Source organism: Homo sapiens, chromosome 10, assembly GCF_000001405.40.
Source record: "Homo sapiens chromosome 10, GRCh38.p14 Primary Assembly".
Lineage (NCBI taxonomy): Eukaryota > Metazoa > Chordata > Mammalia > Primates > Hominidae > Homo > Homo sapiens.
In genome coordinates this window covers 45,536,297-45,561,803 of record NC_000010.11, presented here as the reverse complement: position 1 = coordinate 45,561,803, position 25,507 = coordinate 45,536,297, and the positions used below count along the sequence as shown (strand labels likewise).

The following is a 25,507-nucleotide window of genomic DNA, read 5'->3' as shown; positions in this document are numbered from 1 at the left end:
TCAGCCTCCTGAGTAGCTGGAACTACAGGCACCTGCCACCACGCCCTGCTAATTTTTTGTATTTTTTAGTAGAGACAGGGTTTCACCGTGTTAGCCAGGATGGTCTCGATCTCCTGACCTTGTGATCTGCCCGCCTCAGCCTCCCAAAGTGCTGGGATTACAGACTTGAGCCACCACGCCTGGCCTAAAATTTCTTTATTTACATAATTCGCTATTTAATAATCTGTTTCGGCTGGGCGTGGTGGCTCACGCCTGTAATGCCAGCACTTTGGGAGGCTGAGGTGGGCAGATTACTGAGGTCAGGAGTTCAAGACCAGCCTGGCCAACATGGTGAAACCCCGTCTCCACTAAAAATACAAAAATTAGCCGGATGTGGTGGCACACGCCTGTAATCCCAGCTACTTGGGAGGCTCAGGCAGAAGAATTGCTTGAGCTCAGGAGATGGAGGTTGCAGTGAGCCGAGATCATGCCACTGCACTCCAGCCTGGGTGACAGATGGAGAGTCTGTCTCAAAAAAAAAAAAAAAAATTCTGTTTCATAATTACATTATCTGAAATGATAGTGAAGGCAGTATCTGATGTTTGTTCTTTCTGCTTGCTCTCACTCATATTTACTTCTCTATGTATATAGTAATTTTTTTATTGTGAGCTTATTTTTCCAGATTTATTTTTATTCCCTTTTTGACAGATTTCATTATTACCATATTTGAATGCACTAGACAGGTGCCCTGCCATCATAGAGAACTGAAATTCTTTTCCTGTGTATAGAGATGACATAGTTTTATCATAAAGAACTGGGAAAGGACTGTTACCTTTTTTGTACTCCTTTCTCTCTTTGCCTTATTTCCCTTGCATGTTTAAACATATCTTATCCTTGTATGTATCTTATACGAGGCTTTTTTGATTTTAAGGAACAGAAACTCACATCAGTGTTCTTTAAGAATAAAGTGTTTATTTTCAGATCACAAGGAAACTGGAGCTGAATGGCTTTCAGGATCCAACACAGTTCTAGGGAGCAGCTACACTTACTGCTTATTGCATTTCTGCTGTTCTCTTCATGTCTGCTACACTCTTCCCACGAGGACAGATGTGGGGTCCGACCCGCAGACCCTGGCTGAACGACAGGAGAAAAAATGCACTCACATGCAGGTATCCAATGAAACAGTGAGCTAGGGGAGCGGGCTAGGGGACCGGGCTGCTCACAGACCCCGAGGAGGGTGCTGTAAAGAGTCAGCAGCTGCGGCCTTGACAAGCTGGCACTGTGGGCATTTATTCAGCACGGATTTAATGACAATGGCTTTGAGTCAACACACTTGTGGGTAATCAACATGGTCGCCCTCCCCGGAGTGAGCAGTCCTGTGTGCGGATGATGAAAGGCCAGGTTCGGAGGCCTAAGTAAACTAACTTATCTAGATCAGTTTTTTTACATCCCCTTGTTATCTAACCTAAGCTTTCAGGCACCAGATAAGAGAGTCTAGCTGCCTTCAGCCAAATCGTTTTCCAAAGCTTTTATAAAACCTCTTGGCCTTCCAAGAAGGTTTGCATCGTTCTGCAATTGTTCCTACCACCCTGATGGATCTCCTACAGCCAGAAGGCTTCCTCATCTACAACATTATCTTTTCTCTATTTCATATCTCGTTTTTCTGGTTCTCAGCTCCCTCTCACCTCATCTTTGCTTGTGAATCTTTGAGGATCTTCCTTTATATATTCTTTCAGCCTCACCTCCCTTTTAGTGCCTAATTTGCCAGCTTACCTAATTAGCCTCTTCCCAGCCAGCAGATTGGCTGTCCTTGGAGCAGCTGCCTGTCTGTGTGTTGCGGGGAGGAAGGATTCTGTGTTCAAATCTCACTGCCGAGGCCCGCTCCCTTGGAAGGGTGCCGTGATGTATACTTAGTGTGTATACTTACAAGGTATTTAAAATTCTTTTTGAAGCCACAAAGGATATAAAAATAAAAGGCCTCTAACTTAGAAAATGAATGACCCAGTTGCAGAAATATATTTGGTGAATTAAAAATTTTTATGCCATTCATACTTGTATGAAAACTATTGTGAGTCTAATGCACACTTGGAATTTTTTTTATGGGTTTCTAGCCAAGAAGGAATTGCAGGTTTCCAGTTATATTTATACAGGTTTTAATCTCAAAGATTTAATGTTCATGTTTATTTAAATATCAGTATACATAAGAGCATCTTCAATTAAATGAAAACAAATTCTTATGTGTATGAATTAGTAATATAAGAAATGGCCAATGAAATCCCGTCTCTACTAAAAAATACAAACATTAGCTGGGCGTGGTGGCGCATGCCCGTAATCTCAGCTGAGGCTGAGGCAGGAGAATTGCTTGAACCTGGGAGGCAGAGGTTGCAGTGAGCCGAGATTGTGCCACTGCCCTCCAGCCTGGGCAACAGAGTGAGACTCCGTCTCAAAAAAGAAGGAAGTAGCCTTAGGGACCATTGTATTTCTTAAAAATTCATTATACTGTGTTCTGTAATATAAAGTCAGATAAAAAAATTATAGCACATTTGTGATGGTAGAAACTTAACTATCATCTATGTACATACCACCGTATAGTTTGCAAGTGATTTTCACATATGTTATGGCATTCATTCTTACCCAGAGCCGTAAGGTGAAAAGCATACAGGCAGGTTAGATTTACGGTATGTTTACCAACTTCTAATTTCCAGATGATGACAGGGCTAAAGTTATTCATTCCTTTCCTAAAATACATATTCCTCCTGAATAATTGAAATTGCCATAAATTACTACATCTTAAACTATACCTTTTCTTTCTTTAAAGATGTATTTACTTGGAATATTACTTGGTTTAAAAGGCAAGAATTGTCAAAGCACAAGTGGGACTTTATTATAAATTCTTTTTTCTGATTTTACTACATATTTCTTCCCTTTAGGCCTCAATGTGTTCTGTTCTATTTATTCAAAATAGAAGTTTTATTTGTGGTACTACATAATTATAAAACAGTTAATATTGAAGAGGTGAAAGATCCTTTGTACCTCTGCTCCCATTTTCTCCCCGCATGCTCTCCGGTCTCACTGTCAGTAGCTGGGTGTTATACATACATACACATATGTATGTTTGTATGTACACACAGCCTGCTAGTGCTGGAGGCAGAACTGAGAGCCACCACCGTGCGCCTGGCACCAGAAGTGCAGCCACTGTTGTCAGTGCAAAGATCGTTTGGTTGATAGGTCAACTGTCATGGCTGTGGCCATCAGGATGTTCCTTGTTACCCACGCTGCTGTCAGTCCTGTGGCAACAGCTGCTGCTTTCCGTGCTGCTGATTCCTTGAAGTGTTACTGTTCTTCAGAGCCTTTTGAGAATGCCTTTAATTTGATTGTTCTTCTTAGAACAAATCACACAATACCACTATCATCCCTTGCTTTTATGTAGGATAGTGTGAATGACAGATACCATGTTGTCCTCCAAGCCACTACTCTCTTCTCATGGTCTGTGGCTTTCTTTGGATTAACCTGAACTCTTGCTGTAGAATGAATGTCCGTTCCCCAAGATCCCTGCCCCCTGGAGATTTCTAGGTGCTTTTGGTAAACAGGTCCTTGTCTGCCTTGACTCTGCTATTATCCTCAGTCATGTACAAAATCTCTATCTTTCCTGGAGTTGTCCCAGTGCAGACTCAGGCTAGGAGTCATGCTTCTGAAGAATAATGTATGAAAATGATTTTGAAAAAGGAGTGATTGACTAAGCGTTCATCTATTACCAAAGATAATTAGAACTATAGTAACACATGGAAAAATATCAGTGATCACTGGTCACTGATACTGATCATTGACATTTCTTACATAATATACTAAGTTATTATTACCAAATTTATAGCTAAGTCATTTTTTTTGCAGGCCTGCATAAGCATATTTAACTAAAAGTCTGTTGAATGAGACTTGCATAGTGCTTCCCCAGGTACCTGACCTAAGGCACCTGTGAGTCTGTGTGCTTACCAGGGGCCTTTCCATCATTGTTATGGGGCTGCCTAAGCAGTGGTAAGCCTTTGTTAAATGCAGACATGGAATGAGTCCTTCTGCAGCCCGTGTGGCCTCCTCTTAGCTGTGGGCCTGCCTCTTCCTGTTTTGGTTCCTCACTTCCGTTTAGAGTGACCCTGAAACCACATTCCAGCCCTATCTTCATTTCCTCTGCACAGGAGGTCGTATGGTCTTCTGTTCACAGTCAGACTTAAGACCCTTCCTATTTTCTTTAAGGACTGGTTGTTTTCTATTTGATGTTATTGTGCTGGTGATCCACAATGTATATTGTCAGAAAATAATACTTTGAAAGCTGTGGTAGCTAGAGGTCTGTGTAGGATAGAATAGACAATGGGTAGGAAGTATTAAGAATAAGCACCTTTTGGGCCAGGCGTGGTGTCTCACGTCTGTAATCCCAGCACATTGGGAGGCTGAGGCAGGTGGATCACCTGAGGTCAGGAGTTCAAGACCAGCCTGGCCAACGTGGCAAAACCCCGTCTCTACTAAAAATAGAAAAGTTAGCCAGGCGTGATGGCGCACACCTGTAATCTCAGCTACTCGGGAGGCTGAAGCAAGGAGAATCGCTTGACCCAGGGAGGCGGAGGTTGCAGTGAGCCGAGATTGTTCCATTGCACTCCAGTCCAGGCAACAAGAGCGAAACTCCCGTCTCAAAAAAAAAAAAAAAAAAAAAAAAAAAGAATAGGCACCTTTTGTTGTTCAATGGGTATAGTTTCAGTTTTGCAAGATGAAAAAATTCTGGATATCTGTTTCACAACCATGTGAATATGCTTAACACTGTTGAATGCTGTACACTTACAGATAGTTAATTTGATAAATTTTATGTTTTGTGTTTTTTACCACAAGAAAAAAACAACCATTTTTTTATGGAACATAGACTTAAAAGGTTAAGTACATACAGGGTTTTGGATTTTTTGTCTTTTTAATACTTGATTCTATTTACTCATCCTTTACTACAAGTTGGATCACTAGATTAGGGTTTTGGAAGGTTTAGCAGAGCAGAGAAGTATAGCAAACAGAATTCGTTCATTTAACATTTATTGAGCACTTCCTGGGTAGCAGGCCCTATGCTTTAAGTTGATAATTCAGAGAAATAAGGGACTTGACCCCCAGATGCCTCTTTTGTGGAAAGAACCGGAGAAGCCGTTTTAACATAAAGCAGGAAATCCTGAAAAATTTTATATGCCATTAACATTTTATTATTAAAGCATACAGACATACAGTCATACATCAAAGTTTCAAAACTTTTATTATGGAGAATTTAAAACATACACAGAAGTAAAGGAAGAATACCGTGAACCGCCTTGTGCCTGGCTCTAGCTGGCATCCACTCATAGCGTCTTTTGTTTCTTTATATCCCTCTCCCAGTCCATTTTTGGGGGTACATTCTTGTTCTTTTCATTTTATCTGTAAATATTTTAGTACTTTCACTGAAAGATAAGGGCTGTTTTTCTTAGAATGAATCACACAATACCACTATCATCCCAAAGTTATTTCACAGTTTTGTGTGTGTGTTTGTGTGTACTGTGATTTGTTTGCATCAGGATGTAAACAAGGTCTACACATTACATTCGGTTGATAGGTTTTCTTCAATATCTTTTAAGCTATAGGTTTTCCTTATTTTCTGTCTTATTGAAATGTTATTTACTGAAAAAATCATGCCGTTTATCTTGTGCACTTGCTCATACTATTATATATGAATTTTGCGAAATGATTTTTTTGCTTTGAAACAGTAGTGACCACTTATTCTTCACATAGATCCATTACTTAATCATGGGCATGCAAGATGTTGCAATTCTAATTTCATCATTCCTTTTTCATTTATTCGCTGGAATACTAGTACAGAGAAGACTCTTTTTACAGACTGTTCAGTTACCCAGAGGTATAGCTTATACAGGGAAGTCAGGTTAAATGAGTGACTCTTTCTCTTTACTTACAACTCTTGGAGGGTCCCTAGCATTTCCAAAAATGGCCAGTGCTTTTTCCTTTATTTAAAAAGTATCATTATAAACACATACTCTTTTCTTTTTCTTTTTCTTTTTTTTTTTTTTTGAGACAGGGTCTTACAATGTCGCTCAGGCTGGAGTGCAGTGGTGTAATCATGGCTCATTGCAGCCTCAACCTCCTGGGCTCAAGCGATCCTCCTGCCTCAGCCTCCCAAGTAGCTGGGACCACAGGCATGCACCACCAAACACAGCTAATTAAAAAAGAAATCGTTTTTGGAGAGATGGGATCTCACTGTGTTGCCCAGGCTGGTCTTGAACTCTTGGCCCTCAAGAGATTTTCCTACCTCGGCCTCACAAAGTACTGAGATTACAGGTGTGAGCCATCACGCCCAGCCAGCATGTGAATTTAATATGTTTGATGATTTCTTAAGTTCATTGCAGTTATTCTTTAATGAGTTAATTACATTAATTAATGATAGATCTCACTATGTTGCCCAGGCTGGTCTCAAGTGATCCTCTCTCCTTACCCTCCCAGGTAGCTGGGACTATAAGGCACAAACCAGTTTACCCAGCCACAGTTATTCTTATTAATGATCAAATTGTCCCTTCTTTTTTTCTTGAGACAAGAGTGTTGCTTTTGTTGCCCAGGCTGGAGTGCAATGGCATGATCTCAGCTCACTGCAACCTCTACCTTCTAGGTTCAAGCGATTCTCTTCCCTTGGCCTCCTGAGTAGCTGTGATTACAGGCATGCACCACTACGCCCGGCTAATGTTTTATTTCTTATTTTTATTTTTGGAGACAGAGTCTCACTCTGTCGCCCAGGCTGGAATGCAGTGGCGCAATCTCAGCTCACTTCAGCCTCTGCCTCCGGGTTCAAGCAATTCTTCTGCCTCAGCCTCCCAAGTAGCTGGGACAACAGGTGCGCACCACTACGCCTGGCTAATTTTTGTATTTTTAGTAGAGACGGGGTTTTATCACATCGGCCAGGCTGGTCTTGAACGCTTGACCTCAGGCAATCCGCTAGTCTTGGCCTTCCAAAGTACTGGGATTACAGGTGTGGGCAACCACGCCCGGCCCTAATTTTATATTTTTACTAGAGATGGGATTCTCCATTTTGGTCAGGCTGGTCTCGAATTCCCGACCTCCGGTGATCCCCCTGCCTCAGTCTCCCAAAGAGCTAAGATTACAGGCATGAGCCACTGCACCTGGTCCACATTGTCTCTTCTTTGGCCAATGGGAGTGCCTTCACATTAGCTCCTGGGTCATTTTGGCATGGGTGCTTCTGATGGCTTCTTGCTTTCTTGTGTGACAAGATGTCCAGGCTCATCTTGTACATTAACAGCCATAGATCTGGAATTATCCCTTTCTTTAACCAGCCCTGGTTCCTTTCAGAGGGAAATTGTATTTAGTGACCACAGTCTGGAAACTACAGATTGGTTGTTACTTCTAGGCCTTTTCAGTGAATGGGGCTAGGAAATACGTTATTTTTAAGGTAAAATATTTTATGAGTTTCATACTGATTTTTCCATTATAAACTTAGGAACAGATGATTTTGTTGAATTTCTTTAATTTTATCTTTGTCTCATGCTAAAAATTTTGGTTCTTGATCATAATCATATTGATACCATTACTTGTCAGTGTTACTGCTAACAATATGATTACTGAAAATAGTTTAAGAATTAAAAGCACTTTCCCAAATTCTTTTCATTTTTAGGATAGATTCCTATAGGGATGTCTGGTAAAACTGTTTTAAATCATTTGAAATAATTCCTTTTTGCATGATTATACCACCAATTCAACAAATATTTAGGGTCATTTCATTTTGCTTTTGAATTTTAGAGATGACAGTTTTTCAATTATTTTTTAAACAATTATGGAAAACATATACATGGTTCCAGAGCTAAATGTGTAAAACAAGGCAGAATCAGAGAAATCCATCTCTGATTGTGGTTCCCTCTATTTTTTTTCCTGCATTCCATTTAAAACATGAGCAAGAGTGTGTGTGTGTGTGTGTGCATGTCCATGCATGTGCACACACGTATAGTTTCTGCCTCCTAATCCCGTCTTAGGTGAATGGTAGCACACTATGTATAATTTTCTTCTTGCTTTTTTGTCTTCCTATTTTTCCTGCTGATCACTCCATAGAAGTATATAGAGACATTTGTCATGCCTTTTTGTCTATTTCATTGTGTGAATTTACCAGTTTATTGTCAGTCCCATATTAATGGACATTTGGATTGTCTTTAGTGTCTTGCTGTTAGAAATAGTGCTGCAGTGAATACCTTGTATATACATACTTATTTTTTGTTGTTGTTGTTGTCTTTTAGAGGGATATTTCAGTTTTAAATAAAACAACTTGACTTCAGGAAGTATTCAAGCGTAATGTTACTGCTACTGATGGATTGTTCTGGGAATAGTGGAGGATGCAAAAGGCCAGTCTTGTGATCTAGGGTAGTAATCTTTCTTTGAGTATTATGGGTCCTCTCAGTTCTGTATTATTGTTCTTGTAAAAACCACATTTATAGAGTAGCTTCTGTGTTTTCTAGTTTCACTCTGTTTAAAGTAGATTGAGACTTTAGGAACATCTGAAGCAGTCAGAGCATAGAATTCTATCTTTTTTTTTAAATGTAAATTTTTTTTGTAGAGATGGGGTCTTGCTGTGTTGCCCAGACTGGTCTCAAACTCCTGGCCTCAAGTGATCCTTCTGCCTCAGCTTCCCAAAGTACTGGGATTACAGGTATGAGCCATTGCACCTAGCCAGGATTCTGGTATTTTAGTGTTGTTTTCTAGTCTTTTATAGTTGTTTTATATATACTCAATTTGTCAAAAAATTTTAAGGAAAGTAATATGCCTGTATGGATGCTTTCCAAAGTATTCAACATAGGTTTTATAGAAATAGTAACTTCTTACTTTTGTAGCCACATGTTTGTCCATTTGTGATCAGTTTATATAGTATTCAATTAAATTATACCATTGCAGAATGAGTACAACTGACATAAACAGGTTTGGAGATGAAACAATAGGTTTTTGATAATGTGCACAATTCAACTGGTAGTAGCAGAAATATGCACATTGTTAGAGAGTAGCTTAAATGTGAGCATTCTTTATTTTCTGGGCATTCACTAATCTATTTTAGGGACGAATGATAGCACCAGTTCACTTCTAAAATTTTCCAGTTCCTAGTAGGAGCCTGGCACTTGGAAGATGCTCGGAAAATTGGGTCAGACTATGAGAATACGTCCTTGTCCATTTGTTTGCTTAGGTTAAATGAATGAAATATTCTAGGTCTTCCCAAAGGGATTTAAAATAAACTAAAAATCTCTAAGACGTGATAGCTGACTTTAAAAACTATTCCTGATTTACGTTTATATTACTTTAAATTTGGTCTTGGGTTATTATTTTGATGATTGACTAAAACATTTTTTTGCTTTTATTATAGTTTTTTCACTAAAAGATGTTTTCTAGGTGGAGAAAATTGAAAAGAATGGATTCCAGGATCATAAAGCAAATAATAGTTTATAGTGTTTTTTTTTTTTTTTAAATTCTACCACCTGTGTGCCAGTTAGTAATAAAACTACTAGTTTTTAATAGACATTAACCACCTTTGGGATTTCACCATGGGAAAATGGGAGCAGTATTCCTTTTCTTTCTTTCACCTTCTTTAGTATGTATACATATCACAGTCAATGGTGCAGAAAGGTTAGGAAACTGGAAGGATACAAAGTTTAGTCATAAGGAAGCACAAATTCAAGTTCCTGGAATATTTTTACCCCTGCTCTGTATGGAACACCGTAGGGAATACTAAAGAAACATGATGGTACAGAAGACTGTAGGAATTGCCAAAAAATATGCAACACTCCAGGGATCATATAGCCTTTTAAGTAGGCCAGGCTTTGTACCCTGCAAGGAATGATCTAAACTATGTGATATATTGTATCAGTCAGAGTTCTGCAAAGAAACAAAACCAATAGGGTGTGTGTGTCTGTGTGTGTGTGTGTGTGTGTGTGTACAGATATACCTATATATATAGATAGATAGCTAGATGAGATTGGGAGAGAGAGATTTATTTTAAGGAATTGGTTCATATGATTGTGGAGACTAACAAGTCCAAAATCTGTAGGGTGGGCTGGCAGGCTGGAGGCTCAGGGAAGAGTTGATTCTGGAGTTCAAGGCTGAAGGCAGTCTGCTGGCAGAATTCCCTCTTCTTCTAGGGGAGGTCAGTCATTTTTATATTAAGGCCTTCAACTGATTGGTTGAGGCCCACGCACATTATGGAAAGCAGGATATTTTACTCAGAATCCACCAATTTAGAAGCTGGGTGTGGTGACAGGCACCTATAGTCCCAGATACTTGGGAGGCTGAGGCAAGAGGATCACTTGAGCCTAGGAGTTAAGTCCAGCCTAGGCAACATAGTGAAACCCCATCTCCTAAAAAAAAAAATTGCATCTCTAAAAAAAATGTTGAACTCAAACCAGGGGCAGTTGACAGAAACTCTTGGTATCCTTTCTGTGTATCTTCCCACTCCCAATCTGCACTGTGATTTTATGTTCTTAATGACAGACTTCTGACTTATGATAATGTTATGTGCACAGGGAGGGCCTGGTGAATATTTACTTTCTAGTTGTCAGAAGAATGAGACTAAAACAGTTTTCTTGTGCATATCTGTTTTGAGAAGCAGGTCTGGCATTACTCTCATTGTATATCTAGGAGAGGAAGTTTCAGCTGAGTCATGTATTGACCTAGAGCAGGTGGATCACTTGACCTCTCTGAGTGTTTCCTCGTCTATAAAATGGGAATAAATCCGGTCTTGCCTTAAAAAAAAGTCTGCCAATTTAAATGTCAGTCTTATCTTAAAAATACCTTCACAGAAACATTCAGAATAATGTTTGACCAAATATCTGCATATTGTGGCCTAGTCAAGTTGACATGTGAAATTAACCATCACTTATATTGAAGGACTGTTTTTAATGTGACTAATGTCCACCTGTAAAGAAATTGGGTAACTGCTATGGGTTGTAAAGAAGGGAAAGGGGAACATGTTTTGCTTGTAGAGAAGAAATGCTTTGAGGTGTGGTCTGAAGGCCAGGGAATTTTGGGCCTGATGGGCAAAGAGGAAAGAGCATCCCAAGAAGGTGGGACAGAATGAACAAGGGTAAGGTTGTACATGGCATGTACAGGGGTCCTTGAGAAGATTTGTCCTGCCTGGGCAGACATATCTCGGATGGTCAGGGGGTAAGGTGAGTAGTGAGGCAAATTCTGCTCTGGTTTTTCTGGTTTACTGCAGTATGTGGAGAATATGCTTGTTCTGGCCTGAGATGACAGCTGACTGGTGCAGAGCAGTGTGTGCCACTGTCCTTACATGCTGCATTGTACAATGACATGCTGAGAATTCTTTCTGCAGGAAGCACTTCAAATGAAGTATAATTGCCTTCGATTTTTCTGTTACAAACTTTGGCCACAGTTTCTTCCTCTGTCAGCCTACTAAAGATGCTTCACAAGATCCATGTGTTTGTTAAGGAACGTGAGATCTTCAAGCGGTATGGATTGCTAGAAGGAATTCAAGTATCTAAACCTTGGGAATATTTTTGGATCTTTATTAATGTTATTCTGTAGTAGAAATAGAGTTGAGCACCTTTTTCCCCGTATTATAAAGATCATAATTAGCTTTGAATTTATAATAGGTGTGAAAACACCTTATAAAAACACTCTACTGATAAAAACTATTATTATCAGAGGAAAAAGCAGCGAAAACAACATGTGGTAAATTGTTACAAAACGGCTCCTAATGAATCACTGCCCCCTGTCCCCGCTCCCAGCTCTGCCTGTTTGCAGTATGACTTCACTTGTTTCTCCCATTGTCTTAGTCTGTGTTGTGCTGCTGTAACAGAGTACCTGAGATGGGGTAATTAATAAAGTACAGAGATTTAGTTCTTACAGTTCTGCAGCCTGGGAAGTCCAAGGTTGAGGGGCTCACATCTGGTGAGGGCTTTCTTGCTGCATCATCCCATGGTGGAAGGCAGATGGGCAAGAGAGCATGTGCCTGGGATGGAGAGAAGGGAAGGAGGCTGAACTTATTCTTCTGTTAGGAACCCACTCCCATGATAACTAACCTACTTCCTCAATAACAGCATTAATCCATTAGTGAGGGCAGAGCCCTCATGGCTTGATCACGTCTTACAAGTCCCACCTGTCAACACTGTTGCATTGGGGATTAAGTTTCCAATACATGAACTTGGGGGACACATTCAAACCACAGGACCCATCAAGTGGTAGAGTCTCTTTTCCCCCTTCTTGACTTTGGTCTCAATCAGCAGACACAGTGCAAGCAGAGGCACCATGTGTAGTGGGTGAACTGTCTTGGGATGCTGCTGCCAACATGTGAAGAAGCCTAGAAGAAAAGGCCACATGGAGAAGGCCCTGCCTTCCCTGCTGAGCCCAGCGAAGCAGCCTTTGTAAGTCAGGTAAGGGCAGCAGAAGAGCTGCCCAGCCAACCCATGGAATTATGAGAAATAGGAAATCATGGCTGTTCAAGCAACAAAGTTTTGGGTAGTTTGTTACATAGCAAGAGAAAATGGAACATCTTGTGATAAGTGGCTGGAATCCATGACTGCAATTCTAATCATGGCTTCATTACTGAGCCTTCAAGGAGGCAGCAAAGTAAACAGGTTTATTCTCTAATGATGTGCTGAATACCCAGGGAGAACGCTGGGCTGCTGGAGCCTTGACCTCTCCTTCATCCCCCTTTCGTTATCTATAGGGATCAGACACTGTTCTCTGCAGGGCAAGCACTGAAGAGCTCTTGTAGGAGCTCAAGAAGGTAGACTATTTCTTTTCTTTCTTTTTTTTTTTTTTTGAGATGGAGTCTTGCTCTTGTCACCCAGGCTGGAGTGCAATGGCATGATCTTGGGTCACTGCAACCTCCACTTCCCAGGTTCAAGCAGTTCTCTTGCCTCAGCCTCCTGAGTAGCTGGGATTACAGGCGCCTGCCACTACTCTCGGCTAATTTCTGCATTTTTAGTAGAGACAGGGTTTCACCATGTTGGCCAGGCTGGTCACGAACTCCTGACCTCAGGCGATCCACCGCCTCGGCCTCCCGAAGATTACAGGCATGAGCCACCGTGCCTGGCCAAACGCAGACTATTTCTGTGCTTGATGGATTGAAGGTGTTTTCCAAGTGTTGAAAACACCTGTTCTGTTTCTCAGACGTGAAATGCTAAAAGAACCCTAACAAATCTTCTCTTTTCCCTTTTCTTAACTTTGAGTGTTTTCAGTATTTTTGCATTCTATTACCAAGGGAATACTGTGGCTATTCCATAATTTCCCTGAGATGCAAAATCTTTCAGAAAGCCCAGACATTAGTCCAGGCCCTTTTTCCAGTTAATTGCACCTGGTTTACCTAATTCACGTACCTGCCCCGGTGGTTGTACTGAGGTCTTCCCGAGTCATGGAAGGTGTCCTGATAGCATGCACTGTCTGGAGCCGAGTCCTGCCTGCCCCACATTAGCATCTCACTCTCATGCAGCTGTGGTGTCTCTCTGTTACTCTACTTCTGGGGATTCTAAATTGCATACACTGCCTTTCAGTCTACAGCCTGACTGCTCTCTCTTAGCCAAGCACTTGCATTTGGACAGGACTTCAGCATTAGGCTTTGTTGTTTTCCTTAGGGGCCCAGTTTTTATGGAATTTTTTCCTACTGGGTAGCATTGTTGGCACACCTTGAATCCATCCATTCTGCCGCTCTTGGCTTCAACCTCTGAGGTTATGTGTTGGAAAATTACCTTGCATCTTCTACTAGAATAAAGATGAAAGAACATAAGGATGTGGGCTATAGTTTTTAAATGCAGTGTTTCTTTTCTGTGGCTTGTGATACAAATTTGCAAGTGAACTCAAAATGCTACAGTTAAATATCTGCCATGAATTCGACCTAACTATTTGAGGGGTATCTTAGTGCCTTAAAGTAACCCACTTTTGAAATATCTAATTTATTATCTTTGCCAAATTTTAGGCAGATATAACCATTGCTTTGGTTAAGTTGTCCCTCTATAGACAAAAAAGACAACAAAAGGCCTGTCACTATTTAATACTTCAAATGTGAATTCCATGTTGTCTTCTATATCCATAGGGATTATAATAGCTCTTCTTTACTACAACAAAGACAGGAACATATTATGTTTTATCTTAGTCCTTCCCGTAGCAGTGCCACTGTGAAATTAAAAAAACAAAAAACAAAAAAACCGCTACATATTTTAGGTTCACCTGATCGGTTGCTGCACACTATCACATTTAGTCAAGCATAAGTTGTGCATTTTTATCCATTCTAACATCTCTGAAATTGGCACCTTGGAATCCCCGCTTAGTCAGGGATAATTATGGTCTAGTTGCATAAAAACTTTTTGTTGACACCTTCTGTAAGGTCAAGCAAATGCTGGCAGCTGAGAGTCCTTGAAATATGGCTGTGAAAGCTTGGGCAAGTTGATTAATTTCTCTAAGCCATGCATGAAAGGGAGATAAAAGTTTCTCTCCCTCCTGGCACTGCTGTGAGATTTAAATGAAATATGCATGTAAAATACTTAAGATTTACAAATGCTTTCATCTAGTTTTTTCCTCCATTATTATTGACAGGCAGTATTTTTATACTTTTTAGTTTCTTCATATACTTTATCTGTTTAAATTATTTATGCTTTGGATTTTATTTTCCACTTATTTTCAGCATTGCTTATTTACTATTGTTTTATTTAACATTTATTGTACCCTTTATTACCTCTAGTAATGATCTGAATTTTTTTGGTGGGGAGACAAGGTCTTTCTATGTTGCCCAGGCCAGTCTAGAACTCCTGGCCTAAAGTGGTCCTCCCACCTCAGCCTCCCAAGTAGCTGGGACTACAGATACAAGCCACTGCAACTGGCAATGCTCTAAATTACTCTAGGAGATTTAAAAACTAACAAACTTCAGTCTTTTGTTTCTGGATAAACTTTAGTCTGTGGGATATGTTTGTATGTCTTATGATTTCTTCACTATTGGTAATTGCATATATATTTTCTGGTAGTTAACTTTTTTTTTTTTTTTGAGACAGGTTCTCCTCCTGTCACCCAGGCTGGAGTGTAGTGGTACAATCTTGGCTCACTGCAACCTCTGTCCCCTGGGCTCAAGTGATCCTCCCATCTGTCGACCAAGTAGCTGATACCACAGGCATGCACCACCACGCCCAGCAATTTTTTTTATATTTTTAGGAGAGATGGGGTCTCACCATGTGGCCCAGGCTGGTCTCAAACTCCGGAGCTTAAGTGATCCACTCGCCTTGGCTTCCTAAAGTGCCAGGATTACAGGTGTGAGCCACCACTCCTGGCCTGCTTTATTCTTGTTGCATTAAAAAATTTCAGCTCATGACCGGGCGCTGTGGCTCACGCCTGTAATCTCAGCACTTTGGAAGGCCAAGGCGGGCGGATTGCCTGAGGTCAGGAGTTTGAGATCACTCTGGCCAACATGGTGAAACCCTGTCTCTACTAAAAATACAAAAAAATTAGACAGGAGTGGTGGCGTGCACCTGTAATCCCAGCTACTCGGGAGGCTGAGGCAGCGCAATCGCTTGAACCAGGAAGGTGGAGGTTTCAGTGAGCCGAGATTGCACCACTGCACTCCAGCCTGGGCAACAGAGCGAGACCCTGTCTCAAAATAAATAAATAAATAAATAAATAAATAAATAAATAAAAATTCAGCTCATTTTTATATTTTAAAATGAACTCGCTGTTTTTAAAGCTAATAGTTTTAACAGGCCAAGCCCAAATAACAAAATTTGCATCAGACTGTTTTTTAGTGGGTAACATATGGAGACCTTGTGGTGTTTCTCTGTCATCTTCCCTGAAATTTCTCAGAGCTTTCAAGTTTAATTTTGGTCTTCGTTTCAGTAAAAGGCAGGAGCAGGGCAATCTTTATAGCTTTATAGCTTAAGGTTAGCCTTGCTAACCAGTGGTTAAGTGAGAGTGAGACAGAGGGCGAGATGTGATGTGGCAGGGGGAGCCTTCTTTCCTGGCTGAGTGAAGGGAAGAAGGCTTTGAGGTGATACTAGTGCAGTAGCATATTTGGGCTCTCGTTCAGCTGTTGGATAGCAAGCTTCCATAACTTGCTATCTATCCAGCATTGCGTTTTTGACTCAAAGGTTGAAATTTCTTATCTGTAACTTAGGAAACTCAAGTTTTCCTCTGTCTTAAAATGCTTTGATCAGTAATTCTTAACTACTTATACTTGTCATCTTCTAAAATTATTCTTAAAGATACTTAGATTACATTCCACTATATTTGAAATCCATTTCAATTTTCAACTAAGTCTGATGTGGTCAATCTGCTGCAGATATTTAAAGATCAGTGGGTTTCTTCCCATCTGAAATGAATTGTACCAGGTTGACAAACATGAATTTTTGTTAGTTTTTCCAAATCTCCACTAGGGTACTTGATCAGGATTTGAGACAGAGAACAGTGTTGCTTAATAGTTTGAGTTACAAATGAAATTCTCAGCCATTTTTGCCTGCTGTCTCAGGGAGATTGATCCAACCAGCATTTATTTAATAGATCTTATGTGATAGGCATTGGGCCACAGAAAGAGAGATACAAAGGTGAGCAAAATGAGATATGCTGCCTTTGGGGAGCTTACGGCTGAGTAGGGGAGAAAGTCATTAATTAAAGAACTCAATAAATGTAACATTCTGTGAACATTGTTAATGAAGTAGAGGTTCTTCATTGATCCTATAAAGAACTATGAATGTGGAATTTCCTCTGTCAGGATGGTCAGATGGTTGAGGAAGAGTTAGTTAGCCCAAAAGGGGAAGGAAGAGTGTTGCAGGCAGAGAATACCATATATATAGGCTGTGATGGTAAGGTGCTGGGAGGTCTGAGGGGACTGAAGGAACACTGCTGTTGCTGGACTATAGAGAGAGGGGTAGTACAAAATGAGGTGGGATAGATAACATAGGGCCTTGTAAGCTGTATTAAATGAGCATCTTGAGGTGTAATTTAGGCACCATAAAATTCACCTATTATAAGTGTACAATTCAGTGATTAATAAATTTGAAGTAGTGCAGTGTCATTGTAATCCAGTTAGAGACATTTCCTTTGCCCCCAAAGTTCCCTCTTGCCCATTTGCAGATAGTACCCACAACTACACCCAACATGAGGCAATCACTGATCTGCCTTCTCAAGACACTTTATAAAAACGGAATTGTATAATATATAGACTTTTGTGTCTGACTTGTTTCAATTTGCATAATCTTTGAGGTTCATCCATGTTGTAGTGTATATGATTGGTTTTTTCCTTTTAATTGCTGAATAGAATTTCATTGTATAGATAAGCCACATTTTTATCTATTCTTTAGTTGGTGGACATTTGGAATATTTCCAGTTTTGGGCTATTATGAGGAATGCTGCTATGCACATTCATGTATGTGTCTTTGTGTGGACGTATGTTTTCATATCTCTTGGATGAATTCCAAGGACTGCAGTTCCTGGGTCATAGGATAAGTTTATGTTTAACTTTTTAGGAAACTGCCAGACTATTTTCCAAGTATCTATACCAATTTATATTCTCACCAGCAATACATGAGAGATCTAATTTTTTCTATATCAAACAATTAGTATTGACTGTCTTTTTGATTGGAGCCATTCTAGTGTTTTTGGTTGTAGCCATTCTAGTGGGGGTATAGTGGTATATCATTGTGGTTTTAATTTTTAGCATCTTTTCATGAGTTTATTAGCTATTCATATGTCTTCATTATTTTATTTTATTTTTTAGAGACGGGGTCTCATGCTGTTGCCCAGAATGGAGTACAGTGTTGTGATCATAGCTCACTGTAGCCTCGAACACATGGGCTCAAACGACCCTCTTGCCTCAGCTTCCCGAATAGCTAGGACTACAGGCACATATGAGAGCCTGGCTCTCATATATTTTCTTTGATGAAATGTCTGTTAATGTATTTTGCTTATTTTAAAATTATGTTGTTTGTCTTAACGTAGGAGTTCTTTATTCTAGATACAAGTCTTTTTTTTTTTTTTTTTTTTTTTGAGACGGAGTCTCACTCTGTCACCCAGGCTGGAGTGCAGTGGCACGATCTTGGCTCACTGCAAGCTCCGCCTCCCGGGTTCACGCCATTCTCCGGCCTCAGCCTCCTGAGTAGCTGAGACTACAGGCGCCCGCCACCGTGCCCGGCTAATTTTTTGTATTTTTAGTAAAGACAGGGTTTCACCATGTTGACCAGGATGGTCTCGATCTCCTGACCTTGTGATCCGCCTGCCTCGGCCTCCCAAAGTGCTAGGATTACAGGCATGAGCCACCGTGCCCGGCCAGATACAAGTCTTTTATCAGATATATGATTGTCAAGTATTTTTCCCCCAGTCGGTGGCTTATCTTGAGTTTTATTAATGGTATCTTTTAAAGTGCAAAAGTTTTAAATTCAATAAAGTCTGATTTATCAATATTTTCTTTTTAAATAACATCTGCAAAGGTGGGCATTCAAGCCAAAGTTATGGATTAAATCACCCAGGAAAAGGGAGCACAGAATGAGAATCAGAGAGGGTTAAATGGAACTTTGAGGAATATCTGTGTACAATGTCATGCTATAGGGGATAGATCTGCAGAGGTGGAGATGGAGCAGGAGGAACACTAGGACGGTGTTATGTCATTTAAGTCAAAGAAAAGAGTATTTTAAGACTAGGAAGAGAGTAAAAGTATCAAGTCAAATAACATGAGGGCTGCAAAACAATTTTTAGGCTTAATATAGAGAGCATTGTAGACCTTACTGTACTGAAGCCAGATTGTAGTTAGTTGAAATGTGTATAGAAAGTGAAGAAATGTTGAATGTGAGTGTAGACCACCTTTTCCTAGAAGAGTAGGATAGATGGGACAGTAGTGGGATATGAATGAGGAGTCAAGTGAAGTTTTCTTGCCTTCTTTTTCAAATTTCTAATTAGACAATGTAACCTCTTTATTTATTATCTTAAATAATGATCCAGGAATAATGCCACTTTTGGAAAGTGTGTGGCATTAGATGTTGATCTGTTTAAGGTCACATGAGTCTCATACCTGTTATTCTTTTTATACTTTCTCTCCATTGAATTCTTCAGAATACCTTCAAAATCTAAAAAATAAAAGTAATACGTGTACTAAAATACATGTAATAAAAGTAATACATTTCATTTTGAAAAATGAATTGTAAGCCCATACTCTCTTATTCAAAACTCTTGGATCAGAAATATTTTAGAATTTAGAAATTCTCAGGTTTTTAGGAAAGTAGTCTGCTACAGTACTCTGCTACATATACTATAAATTATCAGATACTCCCATCGAGGCTTGGAGTAAGATCCCTTACTCAAATGCGCTATTTCTGCATTGAAGTATATATAATATTTACACTAAGTAGCATAAGTATAGTTTTGAATAGCTTCCTGTTAGTTCAGGTCAGGTTTTGGCCCCAGGGTGTTCAATCAAGTCTTTTTTTTTTTTTTTTTTTTTTTTTTGAGACGAAGTCCTGCTCTGTCACCAGGCTGGAGTGCGGTAGGACGGTCTCGGCTCACTACAAGCTTCGCCTCCCAGGTTCACACCATTCTCCTGCCTCAGCCTACCAAGTAGCTGGGGACTACAGGTGCCCGCCACCATGCCCCGGCTAATTTTTTGTATTTTTAGTAGAGATGGGGTTTCACCGTGTTAGCCAGGATGGTCTCAATTTCCTGACCTCGTGATCTGCCTGCCTCAGCCTCCCAGAGTGCTGGGATTACCGGCATGAGCCACTGCGCCCGGCCTAGGAGTTCAATCAAGTTTTAGTGTTAAATAAGTAAAGAAAGGGTAGAGTGGTTTTTAAAAAATTTTAATTTTGGTAGTTTTCTGAATTTTAGAACTATGGTTAGGAGCTTGGTGTACCCAATGTCCTAGAATGAAAAACAGTAGTCCTTTGCTCTGGCACAGTCCAAAGCCTTGTTGTTGGAATGGACAGAATCTTCCCCATAGGCAGCCGCATGTATCTTCTGAGAGTTGCTTCCATGTTTTCAAATAATATGTTCATAAACATTAGCTATTATCTGTTGACTTCCTTTTCTTACCCAACGTTCCCTCTTCCCATCCTCCCAATTTGGTTATATCTGTGTTGCTTATATGATTGTAATGTTTATACCATTGTCCGTGTTGAAATTTGTTTCATTTTAAAGCCAAATTATTACATTTTCTTTCTTCTATAGTTTTTGTTGTTGTTAGTAATTGCTTTATATTTTCACTTGCATTTTTTTAAAATTTTATTATTATTATACTTTAAGTTTTAGGGTACATGTGCACAACGTGCAGGTTTGTTACATATGTATACATGTGCCATGTTGGTGTGCTGCACCCATTAACTCTTCATTTACATTAGGTATATCTCCTAATGCTATCCCTCCCCTAGCCCCCCACCCCGCAACAGGCCCCGGTGTGTGATGTTCCGCTTCCTGTGTCCATGTGTTCTCATTGTTCAATTCCCACCTATGAGTGAGAACATGTGGTGTTTGGTTTTTTGTCCTTGCAATAGTTTGCTGAGAATGATGGTTTCCAGCTTCATCCATGTCCCTACAAAGGACATGAATTCATCCTTTTTTATGGCTGCATAGTATTCCATGGTGTATATGTGCCACATTTTCTTAATCCAGTCTATCATTGTTGGACATTTGGGTTGGTTCCAAGTCTTTGCTATTGTGAATAGTGCCGCAATAAACATACGTGTGCATGTGTCTTTTATAACAGCATGATTTATAATCCTTTGAGTATATACCAAGTAATGGGATCACTGGGTCAAATGGTATTTCTAGTTCTAGATCCCTGGGGAATCGCCACACTGACTTCCACAATGGTTGAACTAGTTTACTGTCCCACCAACAGTGTAAAAGTGTTCCTATTTCTCCACATCCTCTCCAGCACCTGTTGTTTCCTGACTTTTTAATGATCGCCATTGTAACTGGTGTGAGATGGTATCTCATTGTGGTTTTGATTTGCATTTCTTTGATGGCCAGTGATGATGAGCATTTTTTCATGTGTCTTTTGGCTGCATAAATGTCTTCTTTTGAGAAGTGTCTGTTCATGTCCTTCGCCCACTTTTTGATGGGGTTGTTTGTTTTTTTCTTGTAAATTTGTTTGAGTTCATTGTAGATTCTGGATATTAGCCCTTTGTCAGCTGAGTAGATTGCAAAAATTTTCTCCCATTCTGTAGGTTGCCTGTTCACTTTGATGGTAGTTTCTTTTGCTGTGCAGAAGCTCTTTAGTTTAATTAGATCCCATTTGTCAATTTTGGCTTTTGTTGCCATTCCTTTTGGTGTTTTAGACATGAAGTCCTTGCCCATGCCTATGTCCTGAATGGTATTGCCTAGGTTTTCTTCTAGGGTTTTTATGGTTTTAGGTCTAACATGTAAGTCTTTAATCCATCTTGAATTAATTTTTGTATAAGGCATTATTTCTGAGGGCTCTGTTCTGTTCCATTGGTCTATATCTCTGTTTTGGTACCAGTACCATGCTGTTTTGGTTACTGTGGCTAAGCCTTATGGTATACTTTGAAGTCAGGTAGTGTGATGCCTCCAGCTTTGTTCTTTTGGCTTAGGATTGACTTGGCAATGCAGGCTCTTTTTTGGTTCCATATGAACTTTAAAGTAGCTTTTTCCAATTCTGTGAAGAAAGTCATTGGTAGCTTGATGGGGGGATGGCATTGAATCTATAAATTACCTTGGGCAGTATGGCCATTTTCATGATATTGATTCTTCCTACCCATGAGCATGGAATGTTCTTCCATTTGTTTGTATCCTCTTTTATTTCATTGAGCAGTGGTTTGTAGTTCTCCTTGAAGAGGTCCTTCACATCCCTTGTAAGTTGGATTCCTAGGTATTTTATTCTCCTTGAAACAATTGTGAATGGGAGTTCACTCATGATTTGGCTCTCTGTCTGTTATTGGAGTGTAAGAATGCTTGTGATTTTTGCACATTGATTTTGTATCCTGAGACTTTGCTGAAGTTGCTTATCAGCTTAAGGAGATTTTGGGCTGAGACGATGGGGTTTTCTAGATATACAATCATATCATCTGCAAACAGGAACAATTTGACTTCCTCTTTTCCTAATTGACTTTATCCATTTCTTCTAGATTTTCTAGTTTATTTGCATAGAGGTGTTTATAGTATTCTTTGATGGTAGTTGGTATTTCTGTGGGATCAGTGGTGATATCCCCTTTGTCATTCTTTATTGCTTCTATTTGATTCTTCTGTCTTTTCTTCTTTATTAGTCTTGCTAGCGGTCTATCAATTTTGTTGATCTTTTCAAAAAACCAGCTCCTGGGTTCATTGATTATTTTGAAGGGTCTTTTGTGTCTCTATTTCCTTCACTTCTGCTTTGCTCTTAGTTATTTCTTGCCTTCTGCTAGCTTTTGAATGTGTTTGCTCTTGCTTCTCTAATTCGTTTAATTGTGATGTTAAGGTGTCAATTTTAGATCTTTCCTGCTTTCTCTTGTGGGCATTTAGTGCTATAAATTTCCCTCTACACACTGCTTTGAGTGTGTCCCAGAGATTCTGGTATGTTGTGTGTTTGTTCTCATTGGTTTCAAAGAACATCTTTATTTCTGCCTTCATTTCTTTATGTACCCAGTAGTCATTCAGGGGCAGGTTGTTCAGTTTCCATGTAGTTGAGTGGTTTTGAGTGAGTTTCTTAATCCTGAGTTCTAGTTTGATTGCACTGTGGTCTGAGAGACAGTTTGTTATAATTTCTGTTCTTTCACATTTGCTGAGGAGAGCTTTACTTCCAACTATGTGGTCAATTTTGGAATAGGTGAGGTGTGGTGCTGAAAAGAATGTATATTCTGTTGATTTGGGTTGGAGAGTTCTGTAGATGTCTATTAGGTCCGCTTGGTGCAGAGCTGAGTTCAATTCCTGGATATCCTTGTTAACTTTCTGTCTCGTTGATCTGTCTAATGTTGACAGTGGGGTGTTAAAACTTTCCCATTATTACTGTGTGGGTGTCTAAGTCTCTTTGTAGGTCACTAAGGACTTGTTTTATGAATCTGGGTGCTCCTGTATTGGGTGCATATATATTTAGGATAGTTAGCTCTTCTTGTTGAATTGATCCCTTTACCATTATGTAATGGCCTTCTTTGTCTCCTTTGATCTTTGTTGGTTTAAAATCTGTTTTATCAGAGACTAGGATTGCAACCTCTGCCTTTTTTTGTTTTCCGTTTGCTTGGTAGATCTTCCTCCATCCCTTTATTTTGAGCCTATGTGTGTCTCTACACGTGAGATGGGTTTCCTGAATACAGCACAGTAATGGGTCTTGACTCTTTATCCAATTTGCCAGTCTGTGTCTTTTAATTGGAGCATTTAGTCCATTTACTTTTAAGGTTAATATTGTTATGTGTGAATTTGATCCTGTCATTATGATGTTAGCTGGTTATTTTGCACGTTAGTTGATGTAGTTTCTTCCTAGCCTTGATGGTCTTTACAATTTGGCATGTTTTTGAGTGGCTGGTGCCAGTTGTTCCTTTCCATGTTTAGTGCTTCCTTCAGGAGCTCTTTTAGGGCAGGCCTGGTGGTGACAAAATCTCTCAGCATTTGCTTGTCTGTAAAGGATTTTATTTCTCCTTCACTTACAAAGCTTAGTTTGGCTGGATATGAAATTCTGGGTTGAAAATTCTTTTCTTTAAGAATGTTGAATATTGGCCCCCACTCTTTTCTGGCTTGTAGAGTTTCTGCCGAGAGATCAGCTGTTAGTCTGATGGGCTTCCCTTTGTGGGTAACCCAACCTTTGTACTCTTTCTATCGCCTTCTTAAAACTGGAAGGGTGAGTGAGATAGGGCAACAGTAGCCATCTCCATGTCATCTAGATTAGTTAGATTAGGGATAACACAAAGGAAAAATTAAAATTTTCTCTATCTATCTTAGTCCTTTTACTATTTCTATGGCTTTAATATACTCGAAAGTTCTGCAACCAGCACCATAGTCAATTTTAGAATATTTTCATTATCCTAAAAATAAATCATTGAATCCACTGCTTCCTCCCGTTTACCCATTCCTACCCCAGCTCTTGGCATGCACTGCTCTACTTTCTGTCTCTATAGATTTATCTCCTCTGGGCATTCCATACAACTGTCATCATGTAATATATGGTTCTTTGTGACTGGCTTCTTAGTATAATTTTTTTCTTTTCTTTTTTTTTTTTTTTGAGACAAGGTCTCACTGTATCACCTAGGCTGGAGTGCAGTGGCGCCATACCGGCTCACTGTAGCCTCAACCTTCTGGGCTCAAGCGATCCTCCCAACTCAGCCTCCTGAGTAGCTGGGACCACAGGCATGAGCCACCACACCCGGCTAAGTTTTGAGTTTTTTGTAGGGATGTGGTTTTGCCATGTTGCCCAGGCTGGTCTGGAACTCCTGGGCTCAAGCGATTCACCCACCTTGGCCCCCCAAAGTGCTGGTGTTATAGGCGCGAACCACCACACCTGGCCTACTTAGCATAACTTTTTAAAGGTTCGTCCATATTGTGGCATGTGTCAGTACTTTATTTCTTTTTATTGCTGAATATGATTCCGTTGAATGGATATAGCTTATTTGATTTATCCGTTTATCATTTGATGGACGTTTAGGTTATTTCCACCTTTTGGCTATCATGAGTAATGTGATAGAAACATTCATGGACAAGTTTTCATATGAGGAGATGTTTGCATTTCTCTTTGGTGTATATACCCTAGGATTGAAGTTGTTGGGTCATATGATAACATGTTTAACCTTTTGAGAAAGAGCCAGACTATTTTTCAAAACGACTGCATAGATCCTCACTAGCAGTATATGAGGGTTTCAGTGTCACAACATCCTTGCTAACACTTGTTTGTCTTTTATTATGAACATAATTAAAGTAATATCTAATAGTTTTGATTTGTATTTCCATGATGGCTAATGATGTTGATTAACCCATTTTTCATTGGGTTATTTGTCTTTATTATTATTATTATTATTATTATTATTATTATTATTATTATTATTTTGGTAGAGATGGGGCCTCGCTATGTTTCACACACTGGTTTTGAACTCCTGGCCTGAAGCAGTCCTCCCACCTCAGCCTCCGAAAATGCTGAGATGATAGGCGTGAGCTACTTGCACCTGGCCTTGCCCTTATGTTACTGAGTTGTAAGAGAGTTGTTTATATATTCTAGATACAAGTCCCTTATTACATATATGATTTGCAAACTTTTTCTTCTGTCAGTTGTCTTTAGACTTTTTTTTTTTTAACATTTATAAATAGAGGTAGAGTATTGCTATATTGCCCAGGCCTTTCTTGAGTTCTGGCCTCAAGAGATTCTCTTGCCTTGGCCTCCCAAAGTTCTGGGATTATAGGTGTGAACCATTATGACTGGCTGTGTTTTCCCTTTCTCAGTGGTGTCTTTTGAAGCACAAAAGTTTTTATTCTGATGATGTGTAGTTTGTCTGTTTTTCCTTTTGTGTGAGGAAGAGATCCAAATTTCTTTTGCATGTGGCTATCTAGTTGTCCCAGCACCATTTGTTGAAAACAGTACTCTTTCCCC

General features: G+C 39.7%; 1 protein-coding gene across 12 annotated transcripts in view, besides 1 other annotated feature; it reads left to right on the top strand.

Moving 5' to 3' along the window:
* Window positions 1–25,507, top strand: part of MARCHF8 (membrane associated ring-CH-type finger 8) — a 140,323-nt gene that overhangs the window by 33,104 nt on the left and 81,712 nt on the right. For 3 of the 12 annotated variants that reach the window (NM_001401645.1, XM_047424767.1, XM_047424763.1), the window contains exon 2: window positions 8,600–8,692. The exons of the other annotated variants lie outside the window; for them this stretch is intronic. The gene's annotated coding sequence lies outside the window, so the exon portion shown is untranslated. The remainder of the gene's footprint in view (window positions 1–8,599; window positions 8,693–25,507) is intronic. 12 annotated transcript variants of the gene reach the window in all.
* Window positions 1,582–4,370: an enhancer, noted in NCBI's record as "VISTA enhancer hs2065". NCBI's record gives its function as "enhancer in: blood vessels[9/9]" and the evidence as "EXISTENCE:transgenic organism evidence [ECO:0001131][PMID:17130149]".